The sequence below is a fragment of the Homo sapiens genome, chromosome 1 (assembly GCF_000001405.40).
Source record: "Homo sapiens chromosome 1, GRCh38.p14 Primary Assembly".
NCBI lineage: Eukaryota > Metazoa > Chordata > Mammalia > Primates > Hominidae > Homo > Homo sapiens.
The window spans coordinates 176462659-176482847 of NC_000001.11; the positions used below are offsets into that span (position 1 = coordinate 176462659).

Sequence of the window (20189 nt, forward strand, 5' to 3'; positions counted from 1 at the left end):
AAAGTGCTGGAATTATAGGCATGAGCCACTGTGCCTGGCCTCACTTAACCTCTTGATGTTTCAGTTTCCTAAATTATAAACTGAGATTGAATACTTGTCCTATCTTACATCACATGTTCTTGTAAGGACCAAGTGGTAATACTGGGTGGTAGCTGGAGAATGGAGCAGTTAGCAGTTTCACATGACTAGCAAAAGGAAATTGTTGAAATAGCTGCATAAACTAGGGGCTGATAAGATCCTGAAAACCAGATGTAGGCTAAGCTGGCTAAGACCAACTGGACCCAAAATGGTGCTGGATTTGACATGGGTTTCACCTATAACCTCATTATATGTTCATTAACTTACTAAATCACACACCCACCAGTGCCGTGATAGTCCGGGAACACCCAAATTGGTGTAAAAATGGGTGGTACCACAGTTCCAGGAAATGTTCACCTTTTCCCAGGAATCTTCATGAATATTCCACCTCTTAGTTAAAGAAACTCATAAAGATGGAAACCCTGAACCCCACTGGGCATGACTCTCTCTCTTGAGTAGGCACACACTCCCTTTTCTCGGGTGTGTACTTTTTGCTTTGTGATACATCTCTGCACTTTCAGTATTTTCCAACTCATCCTTAAATTCCTTCTCACAACAGTGTCAAGAGCCTGGACGCCAGCCAGGATTGAGGTCCTACGGGTGTTTGGGGACCTCCCCAAGCCCACGAGTATCAATGGCAGTATCAATTGTCTGTGACAGTGATTAAGGAGCAAAACACTTGGTATGTATTGGGGGTGTCACTACTATTACCATAGCATGTCTGCTGACTGAACAAGATGCTGGACGTTTGCTAACTTGGCTTGTGCAGGGGGGTGTTAGACTTCTTGTATTCTTTTGGCATCAGAGGGCTGGGACGCAGCCCTGTAAGCGGGGATGAGCATCTCCCTTTAGCATCATTGTTCCCATCCAAGGGTCAGGCTCCCACTTAATGGCTCAGTTTCTCCAGTCTAATAACTTGTAACAAATTGTCTCATTTTTCTTTGATAAGTGACAACCTTTGGCTGCCTGGTCTTCTTTTAGGCTGCAACTGCTTCTGTGAGCTGGCAACTCCAGTTCTCCTGGGCCTCATCCAGGCCTGTGCAGGGAGACCATGGAGGGGATTAGGATGAGGGTTATTCACATCCTCTGCAGACACCTTCTCATGTTCAGTGTCTGCTTGGCTGGCATTAAAGGCAGAGGGAGTGCTGAGGATGAGTGTGTGTGGGGTGCAGGAAGGAAAGGATGGGTAAGGAGAGTTCTATTGCTAAGCTTAGGGTTATGAGAGGAAAAGTAGGTTGAGGCAAAAGCAGTGAGGGAGGATATAATTGAGCCAAATATCTTATTGGAACAGACAGAAGTGATAATATTTATTTCTTCTATAGATGCACTGATCATGTTGTCCAGATCAAAAATAGAAACTGTGGACTATGATCTAACAGATACATTTTTGAGGACAACAGGACAGTGTAGTTTGAATATAAACTCTCTGGGAAAATTCTGGAACAGTGATTTCTTATGCCTATGACCTCATACTCTCCCATAATTTCTTCTTCTTCTTTTAAAAATTTAACCTCTAGGAGTACAGAACACTCCCATAATTTCAAATCTTGCTGAGTCTAGTTTTGCCATTGGGCACAGTTGAGAAGTCTGTTTGTATTTATTCTATCTACTCATTCTTTCTTTCCTTTCAACAAGTATTTATTGAGCACCTACAATGTATGGCCCACTTCATGGGTGTGGGATCTCTGTAGTCACACAGGGCCCTACACTTAGGAGGGCCCTGTGCTTGGTTCAATGCACTGTTAACATCTTGAAATTTGTAATATTTCTCAAACAAGAAGTTCTGAATTTTTATTTTGCACCAGGCCTTGTAAATTATGTTTCTGGTCCAGATGAGGTACGATATTGGGTGTTGAGGATACAAAGATGAAAAGATATAGCTTTTTCCCAAACTCTCTCTAGCTGCCACCAGCTCTTTGCTTAGGAAATACCCCAGGTGCTGGACATGGCTCTCCGCATAGTTATCTGCTAAACACTGCCTTAGCTACCTGGGAGTTTGAAGAGTTTCTTCTTAACTAGTTCACTGTAAAGCATTCCAAATCATATAAATAGTTTTTTAATTATAAAAATAATAGAAGTTACTGTAGAAAGTTAGAACTATGCAGAAAAATTTGAAGAAGAAACTATAAAACAATCCATAATCCCAATATCCATATGCAGTGGTTATCACCGGATAGGTGGCTGGATAGTGGTTATTGCTGGATAGGTGTTTTCACTTTGAATTATTCATATTTATATTTTTAAATAAAAGTAGGATTCTAATACACGTATAATTTTATAATCTTGCATTTTCACTTAAAATTGCATATTTGCTATTTCCCAAGACATAAAATAATTTCCAAAACATGGTGTTCTGTGTTTGTTGCATTCTGACATGTGGATGTGCCATGATATATTTTCTTCCTTCCCATTTTTTGGGGTACATCTAAGTTGTTTTCAACTTTTTGCTGTGGTAAATGCTACTTGGATGAGCATCCCTATATATAAATCTTTGTCTGCTTCTTTGGTTATTTTCTTAGGATACACTTCAAAAAGCAAGATGACTAGTTAAAAGTGTATGGAGAGGCATGACACACATGCAAATCATTTCCAGAAGACTGCAACAACTTATACTCTCACCAGTAGTGAATGGGAGACCCTATTTCACAGGTCTCCCTATACTGGCTATTTTTTATTTTTCAAAGTGGTTGTCCAAGTTGACAGGTGACAACGTTTATTTGATTACTTGTTAGATTAGACGCATTTTTTCCTATATTTATTGGGCACATATATCACCTGTTTTTTCTTCAAAGGCTGCAAAAACTCTGAAATTTAATTCATACTTCAATATTTAATACAAAGTTACCTTTTTTATTGTTTCTTTTCTACTGTAACCTCATGCCTATCCTGACCCAGGCCATTCTTTTTTTTTTTTTTTAACTTTTAAGTTCAGGAGTACATGTGCAGGTTTGTTATATAGGTAAACTTGTGTCATGGGTTTTTTTTTGCATAGGTTATTTCATCACACAGGTATTAAGCCTAGTACCCATTAGTTATTTTTCCTGATCCTCTCCCTCCTGCCACTCTCCACCTTCCGGTAGGCCCCAGTGTGTGTTGTTCCCCTCTATGTGTCATGTGTTCTCATCATTTAGCTTCCTTTTGCGAGAACATGTGGTATCTGGTTTTCTGTTCCTGTATATCATTTTTTTTATAAGTTGTCTTATCAGACTTTTTGTTCATTCTCCTATCAGAGTGCTCCACTTTTTCTTAGTTATCTATAAATTAGTTATCTATTAAATGTCTTAGGTTTTAAAAAATGTATTAGGCAACATGCAGAATTAGGTCTAAGTGACAGATAATACATGCGTGTTTAACATGTTATCTCTGCTGAAGGGTATTACCTTTAATAATTCTTCAAACTTGAAGAATTATTTTCTATATAAAAACTTCATATAGAAGCTTAATGAGGTCCTATATGGGAATGAATTATTGCAAAGAAAATGAAATTCCTGTAATTGGAAAAATTGCTGCAAAGGCCAAATGAACATCGGCCAAGCTACTGTGGAAGGATTCTTGTGCTAGGCAAGAGGTTGGACTGAGTGAGTAATGTCCAATCATTTTTGATTCTCTTTCTATAATTCTAATGATAAAATTTCAAGCACCATCATCTGATTGGCTAGGGTCCTTCCAATTCTAATTTATGAGTAGTTACCTCCAGGTACATTCAGGCCTCCCTGGGTCAAGTAAGTTATCATATTAAATATTAATATTAGTATATTATGTGAGATGAAAAGAGATTAAGTTTCAAATGGTATGATAAAGAGGAACCATACTTACATATTACAGGGAGTCAGAAAAGAAGGAATCTGATGAGTGCTTTAGAAATCAGGGAAGGTCTCATGGAGAGAGTGAGCCTTGAATGAATCAGAGTCTGTGCAGCAGAGAGAGGTATGAAGGCTTTCTAGGTGCAGAGAACAACAATGTGGTTTGCCATGGGCTATGAACCCCACCTAGGGGTGGCCCTGTGTATCTGTCGCAGCACAGACCGAAGGCCAAATCAGTGCAAAAGGGGATTTGTCATCTTGGAAAGCCAAAAATTCCCTGCAACGTGGAGGGAGAAAAAGAGTTTCCAGAGCCAAGGGCAACTTCCCTCTGGACTCCACAGTGAAATTCTGGTGTTAGGCTCACCTGTTTTGCATAGAAATCCTAAATTGTATTTTGTAGCTCTGAGACCATATGGGAGGTCCAACCCTTCTGCGAAACAGTCATGTATCGCTTAATGATGGAAATATGTTCTGAGAAATGCATCGTTAGGTGATTTCATGGTCATGTGAACATCACAGGGTGCAGTTACACAAACCTACACTGTATAGTCTACTATATACCTAGGCTTTATGGCATAGCCTACCGAGCCTACAAACCTGTATAACATGTTACTGTACTGAATACTGTGGCAGTTGCAACACAATGACATTTGTGTATCTAAACACCTCCAAACATAGAAAAAGAATAGTAAAAATATAATATTATAATCTTATGGGACCACTGTTGTTTATGCAGTCCGTTGTTGACAGAAACGTTATGTGGCACATGATTGTAAGTTCAAGCAAGCTGAGGAGCTTTTCTCCTCCTTTTCTTTTCAGTTGTTTTTCTCTGAGTTTTTATTCTCATTGTTAGAAGTGTTGGCATGTTGCATTTGTTGGAAACAGAGAATAGCACTTGCCTTGTGGGAGGTCAGCTTCAGCTTCCCCATCTGAACTTTGAGAAGCTGCTTTCACATTAGGAAGACTCTATGTAACAAGGATGGGTTCTGGGGCAAGGAAGAGAGTCTTGTCACCTCAGCTGTTTGTTGAATCAGGGGCAGTGGATGCCTCATTTATTCAGTTGACAGCGCCAGGTGCTAGTGACTATAAGGTGATGGGTTCAATTCACAGTGGAGCCAGCTAACTTCACTCTGTTTCACAAATGGTCCCAAGTTATGCTTCCTATCTGTCAGTTTATAAGGTCACTAATTTGGGGAGCTAGGTTTGGCACTTCAGTACAAACCACTTTCTCAATTGGGTCTCATAACTGAGATGCTAGACACATAATTGGTACTTCACGAATCCATTTGATGAGTATTTGTGGAGCCACTACAATGTACCAGGAACTGTGTTAGGTGCTGAAAATGCAGATTAAATCAAGACACTCTCTGTACAGTGGATTTGATAAATAGATGAAGAATAGCATTTGTGTGCAGAAACCTAAGAGGGGCTGGCTGGGGAGAGTAAGAGGCAGTAAAGGGTGTGAGATCAAGGGTGACCATTATAAAGTGGACAAAATGCAATAGACAGGGACCATCCAAAAAGGAGCACTATTTCAAAACTCCATTTATCTCAAGGTTTGTGGATTCAAGTAGCTTAGTTTTGCTGAATTCACATTTGGACTATGTGAGTAAGCACCAGAGAGGAAGGTGATGTTTAACACGGGCCTCTGAGATTCTTCCATCCTGGATGTCTCTGGGCTCTGACATTCCTCCCTCAAAATCCTTTTCATGGGAGAGCTTCAGACTGAGTTTTTCCTTTGTACTCAGTTAAGGGCTTTGTTGATGTGGGAAGAGCATTTGGGTGTTTAACCAGCACCAGGAAAAGCAAATCTGCTTATTAGGTCCACCCAAAACTAGGGAGGGGGTATCAGTTTGGAAGGCAGCCACATCAATCAACTGAGCAAATTCACATTGCCAACTCTTTATGGATACCTTTCCAGGTATATGGTCCCATCTCTTCTCTATTCCTCCTAGCTAAGTGCTGGCAAAGTGGTCAGGGAGGTTCACTCACCTAGATCAGCTCTAGCCCTCCTGCATGTGAGGTGGGCATGGAAAGAATCAGGGGGTTCAGAGGCAGGTGTGAGTGCAGCATCTTCTGCACAGGGCCCTCTCTGTGTACCCTCATGCCCCCTCATCTTTCATGTGAAGGCACACATTGATTTTAAAAGCTGCTAGTCATTGGTCACAGGGGTTGACTTGGCCACTTAGGTACCTATCTCCTTTCCCCCTCTTGCTTCCTGGTGTGCCCTTTCTCAAGAAGAGTTTCCCTGACAGAGGAATGTTGATCCATGCTAAGATTTCTCTTTGTTCTTTGGGACATATATCCTTTAAAAAGTTTTGTCTCAATAAATAAGAATACTATGTTTATGGAGCATATACTACCTGTCTGGTACTGTTTTTGGCAATTCAAATGCATCATTTCATTAAACACTCACCAGATGTTAGTAACTTGTAAGAGCTGGTAGGTGGAAGAATCAGGATTCAAGCCTGGAATTTCCAACTTCAAGCTCTGTTGCTAACTGCCATCCTATCCTGCCTCCAAATATTTGCAATGCTTTCATACACTCAGTCGCTTGCATGGTGGCAGCCAACGTGAAAGGAAGAGCATTGGTCTCAATAACTAACATTTTTTGCTGCTTCAATTTCCTTGATAAGCCCAAGTCTTTTGTGTAAGAAAATACTTTTCCTTCTTCAGGTCTTTGTGGCTTTCTCTTAAGCCTAATTGTTGGAAAAATACTTTTCTGCCAGAAAAAACAGTTTCTGATCACTCTGTGGTACCTATTAAATGCACTAGTCCCTTCTTCTCTCCCTCACCTTGCTTTCTCTTCTGTTTCTGGGAGAGGGAGTGGGTGGGGTGCCACTGAACATGAAATCCAGGCACACGCTATAACACACACACCCCTCTAGTACCCCACCAACATGCCTGTGAGTGGAACATGGAAAACGGCCCAGGATTAACAGCACCATGGGAAGAAATGGGGACCGCAGCTTGGGTGATGCCTTGGGAAGTGCTTGTCGTCCTTCAGAATTAAGTGAGCAGTTGCATACTTTTCATCCAGCTGGGGAGAACAGCTCCCACTAGAAAAGGCAAAGCAACCTGACTGTGGTATTTACTGGCAACTGGCCTCAGTGACTGCTTTTGATAACATCCACTGGGCCAAAGTTCTGGATTGTTTTATAGCAAGACTCTGCTCTCACCTCCCAGACACAGGAAGGTCTGAGACATTTCACACCCCTGCTCCCTCCTTAGGGGTCCACAGCAGTTGTCATCTGGGATGCGTCAGACACTTCACCACAGCCCACAGTACACATTCCAGGGCCACAAGCACGTGGTTCCCTGAGCTCTTTGCTCACTCTAACGTGTGAAATGTGTATTGTGGGCTGAAATGTGTACTGCTGGCCATTGGTTCCCATTCCATGTTGATACTCCTTACATGCCTCTGCAGAGGAAGCTGCCAACAACTTGGTAGGGATTTTTATGGGGTCGAGGAAGGGACTTTGCCTTCCAAAATACTGTCCAGAAAACATGATGGAATTTCTGTAACAGGAAACAAAATGTTCAGTTAAGTCTCCAAATGCAAATAATAACAGAAATTCACACTAATATGTCAATAAAAATCACCTGCCTCCATCTCCAAGCAAGAAGGTTCACAGTGGTGAAGGTCCAGGGTTTACTGGTGGGGCTCACTCACACAATCACAGAATTAAGCCAAGAACTCTGGACATTGAGAATAAGCAACTTGGGCTAACTCTCTTTTTCCCCTGGTGGGCATCTATTTTCAGCTATTTCTCTGCTTTTCAGAGGCCACATTGACAAAAAGGTAAGAATTCTCACCTCTGTCTTCACCTCAATGGACAGTTGTGTAAAACAGTCTCCTTCCCTTAGTTCCTGGTGAAGATGACTCCACATCCATCCACATTTTTCACCTAGCCTTTCTAGACCTAAAAGCTGGAAAGGCAGATCAGAAGGACATGTTCTCAATCCAGGGGAGAGGAATGATCAGGCCAGTAGACACCAGCCAGAAATTAGGCTGACTCTAGGCTGCATGGAACACTCCTAGAGAAGGAAAATAGAACTAATTGGAGGAAAGAATGCTTTCCTGAAGAAAGGCCCCATCTCCCTGAGGGCAACAAAAAAGAAAATTCAGAGAAATACTCAACTCCCAGTGAAAACGGACAAGAAGCAACAAAAATGTGAAATAAAAACACTATCATTTTAAAAACAACACAACAATTCCAAGAATACTTTGTGCTTATCAGCTTTGTCCCAGCCTTTTCCAAGTGGCGTCTCTTCTAATCGTGGCTGGGGCTGATTTCTAATCTGGGGACCACTGCTTTGGGTCAGTGGATTTTTTTTTTTAAAGTTTTAGGTTGAAAGAGAGCAAAAGCTGGCCCCATGCTTTAGTTCCAAGTCCCCAGTGGCTTCTCGGGTCAAATAGCACATCCTCAGAATGTGAAGGAGCCATTGATTCTGGGACCCAGGGTTTGTCTTCTCTAGCTTTTACAGATAGTAGGTGATAGCCTGTGATATGCCTCTTTGAGTGGGATTCATGCCTTAAATCAAGAAGAACACAGGAAGGGAAGTGTTTGTTACTTGGTACAACAAGAACCCATATGGGAGAAGTGAAAAAATAGCAAAGCTCTGTGGAGGAAAATTACGGTGGATTCTGAGCTTGACTGTCTTGGGCCTGAGGGATTTGAGGTGCTGCCACCGGAAGGATGAGTAGCTCATGCAGGGTTCAGAGGGACTCCTTTCCCTCTAAGTCAATTAAATTTTCATTCCCAACTCTCATTTGCTTTGCCATTTAAGACTGAATTCAGGTTATACTACCTCTGTGAAGCTTATCCAGAAACCCCAACACACTGTGTGTGTCTGTGTGTTTTTAAAGTTTAAAGCCTTTTTAAAAAAATTATAAAATAAAACACAAATATAGAAAACCAAACAAAACAAGTGTAGAGCTTAATGGATTGTTATAAGGCAAGCACTCGGTTAACCATCAACCAGATAAACAAACAGAACTTGGTCAGCAGAATCAGAAGCCCTCCATGTATTTTGTCCCAGTTGCAATTTCTGCCTCCCTCCCCATGAAAGTAATATACTGACTTCCACAAAAATCACTTTTCTTTCACCACAACTTTAGTTGTGGTTTTACCACCCAAATGACATCCTTAAACACTATAGTTTAGTTTTATCTATTTAAAAATCTTGTGATATATCCTTTCAATCTCTTTAAACCTACAGTTTTCCTTCCAAACTTCTCTTTTCTGTACAATGTATTTGTTACTCGGGGCATTTGACCTGTAGAGTTTCTTGTAGGCCGGATGTTGCTGATTGGACACTCCTGATGAGATTCAGCATTTACTCCAGCCTCTGTATTTCCTGCGAACTGGCAGCTGGATTTGGAGGCTTGGTGAAACTCAGAGTCTATCTCTTTGGCAAGGATATGGGTGGCACATTAGAAAGTATGTAACGTCTGGTTGTCTCTCTTTGTGACTTGGCAGATATTGATTGCTCAATGCCTAGATCCATTAATTTATTGTGGGCTGCAGAATATTATTGCATATTATTTCTTTTCTACTTATTTGTTGGAATATTTTTGTAAAAAGACTCATCTCTTCATCTATTATTTGATTTATCAGTGTTAACAATTCATATAGGAAAGGCCAATAAATGCTTGATTCTTTTATTCAATTGTTTTCAAGGTATTGAATGTTTCCTGTTACCCTCCAAAGATTAATTTTTATCTAATTATTATGAACTCGTGTATCCATGTGTTCCTATATGTATTCAACATATTTGGTGGGTTTCAAGCCATTGTAATCATTATCTTTATATAGCTCAATTTGTCCCATCTTTGGCCAATGAGAGCTTCTTTCATTGACATTTGAATCCTTTTCACATGATCCTAGTAGTCTTTAATAGCTTCTTTGCTATCTCATATGACAAGTCAGTCTAGGCTCATCTTACATATTTTCTGCCCCAAACATGGAATCTGCCATTTCTTCAAGAATCCCTGGTTTCTTTTAATGGGAAATGGTACTTACAAACCGTAATCTAGGCACAAAGTATGTTTATCCCGATTGTGTTGATCATTGTTTCCAGGTCTTTTCAGTGGGCAGAGCTACAAAATATATATTTTTAGATAAAAAATAAATAACCTTATGAGCTCATTTTGAAACTTCCAGTACAACTTTTGTGTGATAGGTTTTTACAAGCATAACAGTTTCAGAACATTAATATTAGTAGTACTACCACCAATATGATTACTAAGGGTTACATTTTTAAATTTTCTGTCTGCATTTGTCTCTACTTTTTGTGATTTTTGTTTCAAAAATTTCAAATAAACTTTATTTTCTAGAGGTATTTTACATTAATAGCAAAATTGAGCACAAGGCACAGAGATTTCCTGTATACTCCCTTTCCCCACTTATGTGCCAATTCTCTTACTGTCAGCATTTCACCCCAGAGCAAAACATTTGTTACAATTGATGAGCCTACAATGACACATCATTATCACCCAAAGTCCATAGTTTATATTAAGGTTCACTTTTGGTGCTTACATTCTATAGATTTTGAAATTCATAATGATATGTATCCACAATTATAATATCCTACAGAATAATTTCACTGCCTTAAAAATTCTCTATGCTCCACCTATTCATCCTTCCCTCCTTCTAACCCCTGTCCTAACCCCTGACAACCACTTATCTTTTTACTGTATAGTTTTGCCTTTTCTAGAATGTCATATAATTGGGATCATACAATATACAGCCTTTTCGGATTGGCTTCTTTCACTTAGTAACAGGCATTTAAGTTTCTTTCATGTCTTTTATGGCTTGGTATCTCATTTCTTTTTTTAGTACTGAATAATATCCTCTTGTCTGGATTTATCATAGTTTATTTCACTTACTGAGAGATATCTTGGTTGCTGCAAAATTTTGGCAATTGTGAATAAAGCTGCTATAAGCATCTGTGTGCCCATTTTTGTGTAGATGTAAGTTTTACAGTCACTTGGGTAAATACCAAAAAAATGTAATTGCTGGATTGTATGGTAAGGGTATGTTTAGTTTTGTTAGAAACTTCCAAAATGTTTTCCAAAGTGGCTGTATCATCTTGTATTCCTACCATCAGTGAGTGAGTGCCTCTATTGCTCCTCATCCTCACCAGCATTTGGCATTATCAGTGTTTTGGATTTTAGTCATTTGAATAGGTATGTAGTGGTATCTCATTGCTGTTTTAATTTGTAATTCCTGAATGATATATGATGTTGAACGTCTTTTCGTATGCTTATTTACCATCTCCTCTATCTTCTTTGGTGAGGTTTCTGTTCCAGTCTTTTGCCCATTTTCTAATCTCATTGTGTTTTACCTACTTCTGAATATGTGTCATACTTAGGATCAGAGTGGTAAGTAAGTGAAACATCCAGTGAGCCTAAGCTGTATCAACCATAGACTTCTGATATTTGATGGAATTTTTGGAACAGGTGGCTAGAATTCTGAAAACAGTAAAGTATGTATTACTTCTGTTTACCTCATATTTGATTTCAATAGAGGGCATTGGCTATAGATAAAAATGTTTTAGTTCATTCTTTTAAATGATTCCCCTAAAAGCTGTGTCTAGTAGTAAGAATAGGTCATGTTATGATGCAGTAACAAGTGTCAATTCCCAGTGACTTATTTTTTACTTACTTTACATGTCCAAGGTAAGTTGGTGTGGGCTTTATTACCTCAGTCACTGGGCTCCTAGGTTGATGAAGGCTGTATTATTTTTTGATTATTACTATCTGGAACACATAGTCTTCTTGATCAGAGAGACACCTCAAGAGTTCCACATTGACCTGGCCTGGAAGTGACACACATCCTTCCCGTCCATAGCTCATTGACCAGCGCTGGTCATATGGCTGCCTAACGGCAAGAGGGCAGGGAAATGTAGGAAATGAGCTGGATGTTTTGGTGATTCCGTGGTCTCTGCCATACTCTATCAGATATTTTGGGCACAATGGTGGTGATGGCAGTGCCCACTTGGAGACTACAGAGTCCAGCAGGAAACGGTGGTATCCAGATAAATTTAAAAGGATGCCCAGCAGGAGACTTCAGGGATTAGAGGGAAATGAGGACATTTAGTTCCTATCCAAGACTCACACACTTACTACAAGTTCCATAATTATTACATAGCTTCATATAAAAGCTAAAATTGTCAACTCTTTAAATTTGTATAGTATAAAAATGTGAGCAAGAGGCTACCAGAAAATATGATTGTTTTCAAACCTGAATTGTGAATGAAGAAGCCATAGGAACTATTTGGTGACTTGTCATGGCTCTAGAAATACCTGTGTCTTCAAGTCCCAGAAATTATTACTGGGAAAAGTCATATGTTGTGTTGATAAGTAGGAAAAACAAGCAACATATAAAATTGTATGTACAGTGTGAATACATCTTTATAAAGCAACTAAAATTAAAACTAAATACAAAAATAGAATAAAATACAATCAAATATAAGTGGTGGTCATTGTTGGTTGGTGGTATTAAGAGAAATTTTGTTTTTTGTGTGTGTGTTTTTTATATTTTTTATATTGATAATCAACAGAGAATGAATTTACACAGCAAGCACAGTACACAAATGCTATGCTGTAAAACTGTTCCTGGGGTACGTGGCTCATCTAAAACAAGTGCAATAGGTTTCCCATGGTGAGAAAGCCACACTGTCATTTGCTCCTGGCTGGCACAGAGTAGGTGGTCAATAAATATTTGTGAAATGAATGGATGATTACATATGTGTGTGTATGAGTATGACTTGGCTTACAAATAAACAAAAGCCTAGCATAGGTGAGGAGTTTTTAATGGAGTGTTACTGAAAAGAAAAAGCCCAGATTCTCTGCTCTTGGCCCAACATAAGTTGTTACTGGCCTCAGTGCATCCTTACAGGAGGAAGGTCTACACTGGGGAGAGAGGGCTACCTCCTTTAGTAAGCACTGAGAACCATATGTGCTTTCACTTTGTCCTCCTGATACCTGGGAATAACTCTGGCTACAGATGTTTTTGTCCTTATGGAGTCCTCCAGGATGGGAACTGGAAAAAAAATGCCAGACATATTTACTTTCTAAAAATCCCACCAGACAGGTTAAATAATTGAAAAATGTCATCCAGTAATATCTTGACTGGGCCAAGAAAATAACCCAACATTTTATATTCCTTTAAATAGAGATTAGCAATTTTAGGGTGTTCTTTTGCTTTGTTTTTTGGAGGATGGGAGAGGGAAGTGGTTTAGGGAGGAGGGAAAGAGCCATGGCCATTGGTCCACTTAATTTAGAAAGTCTGAAAAATTGGAGTGGTGAAATGTTAGAGGGAAGAAGCTGAATTATCTCCATTGAGACACCTAACTAATACCTATGATGAAAATGAGAAACAGAAACCAATAATAATTACTGGGCTTGCAGGCAGTGTGCAATTTTTCAATATTAGTAGGGCACTGACTTTTCTGAGTTACTGTAGTTATTTGGTGCTGTGACTTTAAAAGGTTTTTGTAAATTTTGGAGCAAAGACTATTTTATAAAGCTGGATCATTTTCCATGCCCCTGATATCTTTTCTGGTTACCACACAGCATCCTTTTACAAGAGTTAGAAGAGGGAAAATATTGAAAATCCAGTCTCAAGAAAGCCCCTGTCTCTCTCCTTCCAATACTCCAATGTCTGAGTCCTTAGTGATGTAAAATGTGGTTCAAAAAAATATCAGCAAGCGTCTGGGTTTCTTGTCTGGAATGCGTGTTCCAGGAGAACAGAGACCTTGCATCTAGAGTAATGTCTGGCACACAGAGGAATCCCAGTGTTTATGGTTCACTAAATATACTTTGTTCTCTGCCATACCTGTGGTCCTGAATCCAAAAGCTGAAGCTCATGTCCCCACCATGATAAGGAAAACAGATGGTTACTGATATTTTCAGTCCTATTTCTGTGCAACTTGTTTTATTGTAATGGGACAGTGTCAGGGATGGAGTCTGAGTGGGCCAGGTCAGTAGCAGGAGAGTATAAAGAATCTGTCTGGCACGCCTGCCTAGACTCAAGAACTCTGGCCCACTAATACAATTGCTCTAGATTGCCAAAATGCAAAGCTAGCACTTTGGACCTTCACTTCAAGAAGCCTTTTCATTTCAATTGATCTCTTGGCTCAACTGCCAGTTTTGGAACCATGACTAGGATGATTTTATCAGCATCATTTACAAAGATTTAAACAATGACAGATTCCTGGGTTCTTCTTTAGAGGTTATGATTCTGTATGTATAGGGAGGATGCCCTGAAATTTGTATTTTTAGAAAAGATTCTAATGTGAAATCAGTTTGAAATCAATAGTCTATGTCCTTCTGTTTGCACTTGGATATTTGCCTGGGGAAAGATGGAGTCACGTGCTCTTGGACCTGATGCCATGTTGGTGAGACACCGGGACCTCGAAAATCCTCTAAATGGTTTTACAGGAACTTTTACATGAGCCACGGTCATCCTTAAGCAATCTCTATGTTTCCTGGGCACTTTTCTCATCCCATTTAGCTTTTCAAGGGAAGCCTTTCAATCTCATCTAACTGCTCTCAGGAAGAGAAATCAGTTCTGCATGAAAAAGACAGTTTTTTATTCCTTTATTTCTACCATTAAAATCTACCACCCCACTTCCTCTCAGGATCATAGTCTCATTGCATATCCTTTCTTGTGACCTTGCTGCATGCTCATACTTTCCTTTGAAGGCTCAAGAATTGGGGGATATGAGGCTTAAATTGTAAAACCAGGACTTTCAAACAGTTACTCATGATCAACAATAAAACATGCATTTTTTATTGTGATCCATTATTACACACATGCACACCTAAAATAAGTTTCATGCAACACTACTTACTCTAAATACATGTGATATACTCCGTTCTCTAAACTATACTATTTAGTTTAATTAAAAGTTATGGTTGGGTGCAGTGGCTCACGCCTGTAATCCCAGCACTTTGGGAGGCCGAGGTGGGCAGATCATGAGGTCAGGAGATCGAGATCATCCTGGCCAACATGGTGAAACTCCATCTCTACTAAAAATACAAAAATTAGCTGGGAGTGGTGGTGTGTGCCTGTAGTCCCAGCTACTCAGGAGGCTGAGGCAGGAGAATCACTTGAACCTGGGAGGTGGAAGTTGCAGTGAGCCGAGATTGCGCCACTGCACTCCAGCCTGGGTGACAGAGTGAGACTCCATCTCAAAAAATAAATAAATAAAAAACATTAAAAAATAAATAAAATAAAATAAAATAAAATATGCTGGCCTAGACATACAAAATTACTTTTATGACCCACTAAAGGGGCTCAACCCATTATTTGAAAAACATTGCTATAAGGATCCCAGACTCACCTCTGTCTCAAGTATGGGTGAGGAGAGGATGAACACCAGAGAAGTTAAACTATTTCCAAGTTAACAGCTGGGTTATCTGTTCTTAAAGCCATGGGACAATTATGGAGGTTCAATAAGTAGCTGTTAGACCATCTAGGCAATACCTAATGTAACAGGTCTGGAAACTGCTGGCCTGATCACCTTGCGTAGGAACTATAGCTGAATATTTTGAGTAGCTTCTGCTATTAAAAAGACTGCAGAATAAGAAGCTTGTGCCAGACTATGGGTCAGGAGCCATCAAAGGTGCTTTATTTTCAATAAGAAGACATTGAGGAATCTTTGTTAAGAATCCAGATTGATCTCACAAAACCATTCCAATGGAATATATTCTGATATAAAAAATTCCTTTTAAAAATTACTTGAATGTAATTTGGAGTAAAGGGTAATGGCTAAGATCATAGACTCAGAAGGAGTTGGATAAACCTCAATTTGGTTCCTGGCTCTGCTACTTGTTAGTTGTGTGCCCCTGGGCAAGTTACTTAACCTCTCCTTGTTTCAGTTGCCTCATCAGTTAAATGGGGAGAAAAATAGAATCTACCTACTGATGTCATGAGGACTGAATGAAAGAACATGAAGTATTTGGCAGGGTGCATTGCAGAATAACAATCACAGCCTCATGATAGTTACTGGCATCACATCAGATCCCAGATGTATGTTCAAACAGTGGACTCATTTTTATCTCAGTTGGGTTTGAGAATGTGTCTTAACCATGAGTATTGTGCCACAATGTTCTTGAGACATTGATTAGGCAAAACAGAGAATGGCCAGGGAGACTGGCCAGTCCTCTCCTTTGAACCCAGTTCATTGCTCTTGAGTTCAAAGATAAGGAGTAATCTCGCTCAACCATTGTTGAAGTCTCTCCTGCTGGTCTTGGATGAGGACCAAGTCCTCATTTATATTCATGTATGCAGACCACATTATAAGTACACATATTTATATCACAGTCACCTATTTATGTCACGGGAGTTAAACTTTGATGACCCTTTGGTGGGGCTGGATCAAGTTGGATGGAGATAAGATCTAAGTTATACAGGGCCTTGAGGGCAGACTGGCTCTTTTAGTATCTTTACATTAATCCATCGATGAGGATATTTTCTCCACAAGGACTTGACAAGGATTTTTTCACTCAAAAAACATTTTAGACCCACCAATAATAATAAGTTAACTCATTTAATGATCACAGCAACCTGTCAGGTAGATACTATTATCCCCATTTTGAAGATGAGGAAACTAAGGCACTGAGAGGTGAAATAATTTTCCCAAGGCCACACAACTAGTAAACGAATTAAAGCACGGGGCCAGATTCTGAGAGAGTGTAAGGCAGCAGCGTTAGAACCATCTCTTTTGGATCTAACTGGTTTTTGGCTTGTTGTTCTTCTTGTGGAGGTTTTGGTGGATGGAAGGTGGGAGAAGCATCTCTTAAGGACTCACCAGATCATTAAAAAAAGGCAGTGGTGATTCTTCTTTGGCCTTCACAGCATCACAGCAGTGAAGAAAATTGTATAGCAGACTCTCTGCTCACCAGGCTAGCAGGCAAGCATCCCTAGGAAATTGCACCCCCTGACTTAGAGGACTGCCTTGGGAAGGGAGAGGTTTAGGGAGGAGACAGTGTGATTCCAGGGCAAGAGGCTATGTGTACCCTTGGGCATTCTTGTAGGTATTTGCTGGGTAATTTTAAGGGGACTGGCTTAGAGAAATGTAATGAATAAAGGAGGGTCCTCTCATGGTCTGTTAATTCCTTGCACTTTTCTTCTTGTCAGTCATCTACAATATTCAGTACTTAACAAGTTTGAAGCTTCTATAGAAAAAGTTTGAATACCTTGCTTTCTGCATGGAATTTAGGAAATTCCCTTCTCCAAGCACTGCAGTCAGGAAGCCTCAGCATGCAAGGTAAAATACACTAACTTGATTTGTAACATTGACTGTCCTTGTTGTATTCCCCACATTTATAGCACATCAATCTGAAAGCATAGAAAGTTAGAAAAGAATTATATTCACAAGCTTGGATTTGAAGTTTTAGCCTGTAGAAGAGAAATACACAGGGAAGTGTCCGAGGATAAGAGCCCCTTTCCCCCTCCCTCTGGCCACAGAGTGGCATTTCCAGCTGCCTGACAACCTCTGTAGCCTAGTGTTGAACACTGGTGCTCACCAGCTGCTGCTGGAGAGAAGCCGGCTGGTGGGGGAGGGGTCTGTGTGGAGAGCAGCCTCCTCCCCATGTCCTGCAGTCCACACCTACCTCTCTCGACCTGTAACTGGGCCTCCTCCGTGCCCAGCTTGGCTTGGCAGTATTGCTCTGTGCAACAGTCTCCAAGAAGTCTCTATGCCTCCCCAGCTCCTGGGGCACCCGAAAGGGCAGCGCTGGATAAGTCTCAGTAACACAGAGCAGTCCTGGGGAGAGGGCCGCTCCATGGCTTTTGGGCAGGCTGACCTGGAATGAGCTGGCAGGCCTGATTCCAGTCCTGAGGGACAGGTACCCACATCAGGAAACCACCATCCTAACTGGCCCCATTTTTGGCAGTCCGAACTGAGAGGCTAAGCAGGGAAAGGAGAATGTAGAATTCCACCCCACCTTAAGGGAAGGCAAGTAGGTGGTGGGGCATGGAGGCGGGAAGGCTGGAAGGGCCAGGTGGGGAAGGGGATAGGCAGGGGACATCATGAGCACCGGGAGCTGTCTGCTGGGCAAGGTCTGCCCTTACAGATGCTCATCCTGTACCTCTTTCTACACTCTTGAGGGGCATACACATTTCACAGAGAATGGATGAAGGAAAATATTTTCTTTCTCCAGCAGTAATTTCCTTCCATGACACTAGTTAGGACCACCCCTTCTCCCTCTCCCCACCCCTCCCTCAGGCTCTTGCCATCTTGCCAGCAAGGAAAATCCTACGTTCATACCTGGAATCATAGACCAGACCAGACGAAAACACTAAAGCCAGTCACCCGACTGTGCACATATTCTCCACCTTCCCACAGCAGCCACCTTCAACGCCTCTCCTGGGCGTACCTGTGACTGCATCTGGGAGTACTCCTCTCTCCTAGGCCTGCACCTCCACCCCACAGCGCTTTCCTCTTGTCACCTCGTTCTGCCCTTGGCCTACCTGCACCACCCACTCTATTAATGGAGCAGGATTGTGAAAGAGGGGAGGGTTTCTGAAAATAAGTTTGAACGTAAAGTGACGAAGAGGGAAGAGAAGCTTTCTGAATATTGGATTAAGACTGGCTCCAAGAATATTGATATTCCCATAAGGAAGCCGTTAGTTTGCCCACTACTTTAGATTCCATGAATATTTCATTGGTTGATTTAAGCGCTGAGATTTTAAAGCACACACACACACACACACACACACACACACACACACACACACACACAGACAAAGCACCTTTTTGGCAACAGGGCCATCGTGCTGTCCTCCTATGCCGGGGCCTTCGACATGGCTCTGGAGTGATGCCGTGTGGCAGCTTTGAGACGGAATAGTCTGTCTACCTCACAAAGATCTAAATTTATATCCAACCAGGGACATCTAGTGTGGCCAGGGCAAGGTTTCCAGGAGAAAAACAGTGGTTTAACATGCACTTGTGACTGACTCAGGAAGTAGATTTCCTCAGCTACCCATTGCTGAGGTGACCAGTTGTCAAATTAGCTTATTCTCTGCTGCAGACTTCATCAAAGGGGCAAATCAGTTTTAATCCTAGCATTTGGGGCTAAGATAAAAATCAAGGCTATGACTTATACTCCTCTGATCTTGGACAAGAATAGATGCTTTTATTGTTTTGTTTTCTTTGTTTGTTTTTGAGATAGAGTCTCACCCTGTCACCTAGGCTGGAGTGCAGTGCCGCGATCTCGGCTCACTGCACTCTCCACCTCCCAGGTTTAAGCAATTCTCCTGCCTCAGCCTCCTGAGTAGCTGGGACTACAGGTGTGCACCACTATGCCTGGCTAAACTTTGTATTTTTTTTTTTTAGTAGAGATCTGGTTTCACCATGTTGGCCAGGCTGGTCTCCAACTCCTGACCTCAAGTGATCCACCTGCCTCAGCCTCTCAAAGTGCTGGGATTATAGGTGTGAACCACCACAGCCGGACAAGAATAGATGCATTTAAAAGGTTCTATCTGTACACATTTCCTAATTAATACCAAAACAAAGAGTTTTTCTAATTCCTTTGATCACAATGCCACACCACTCTGAAATTCTCTTTTCTTCACTGTGAAAAAATCTCACTGCATAGAGGTAAAAGAGGACAGCCATTCAACGCAATTCAGAAAAGTCTCCCAATCATACTGAAATCTATTAGTCCAAATCCTTTTCTTCCCTAAGCCGAATAATGGCAGTCTTTAGGTGTTCTGTGTAAATGTCAGTCATAATGAATGCAGCTGCTTTTATTAGAGGAGAGTTTGATATAGTGGCAAGTACTGTTTATTTAGAGTTAGGAGACCTGTCTTATAGATTCAACTTCATCATGGATACTTTGGGCGAGTCACTAAACTCATCAATTGTTTTTACTTCTATAGTCGCTAATTGAACATTGTTACTATTTTGCTCTTAACTTTTTGGTTGTAAGTGAAGATCATTAAATTCCAACGGGCATGAACAGGAAAAATGAGGTTTTTAATGTAACCAAAAAGCCCAGGGACAGCTTCAGGCTCAGCTAAATACAAGGATCACTGAAATACCATAAGAATTTGTTATTTTTTTCCTGGCTCTGTTTTCTCTGTGTTGGCTTTATTTTCAGGCAGACTCTACCTTTTTGGTGGCAAGATGACTGCTAGTATCTCTGGGCTTATAGCCTATCTTCTCAGCTTGATGTTCAGTAGGGAAATAATTCCTCTTTCCCAGATGCTCCAGTAAAAGTCTTTGGTTTGAATCTTATTGGACCAACTTGGGTTATGTGCTCATCATCCCTGAACTGATCACAGTAAC

The 20189-nt window shown here is 40.8% G+C and overlaps 1 protein-coding gene across 6 annotated transcripts in view; it reads left to right on the forward strand.

The window, feature by feature from the left end:
- PAPPA2 (pappalysin 2) overlaps positions 517-20189 on the forward strand; it is a 382427-nt gene continuing 362754 nt past the window's right edge. For 5 of the 6 annotated variants that reach the window (XM_047427180.1, XM_017002024.2, XM_017002023.2 and 2 more), the window contains exon 1: positions 517-760. The gene's annotated coding sequence lies outside the window, so the exon portion shown is untranslated. The remainder of the gene's footprint in view (positions 761-20189) is intronic. The other variant, XM_011509857.1, reaches the window with a different exon arrangement.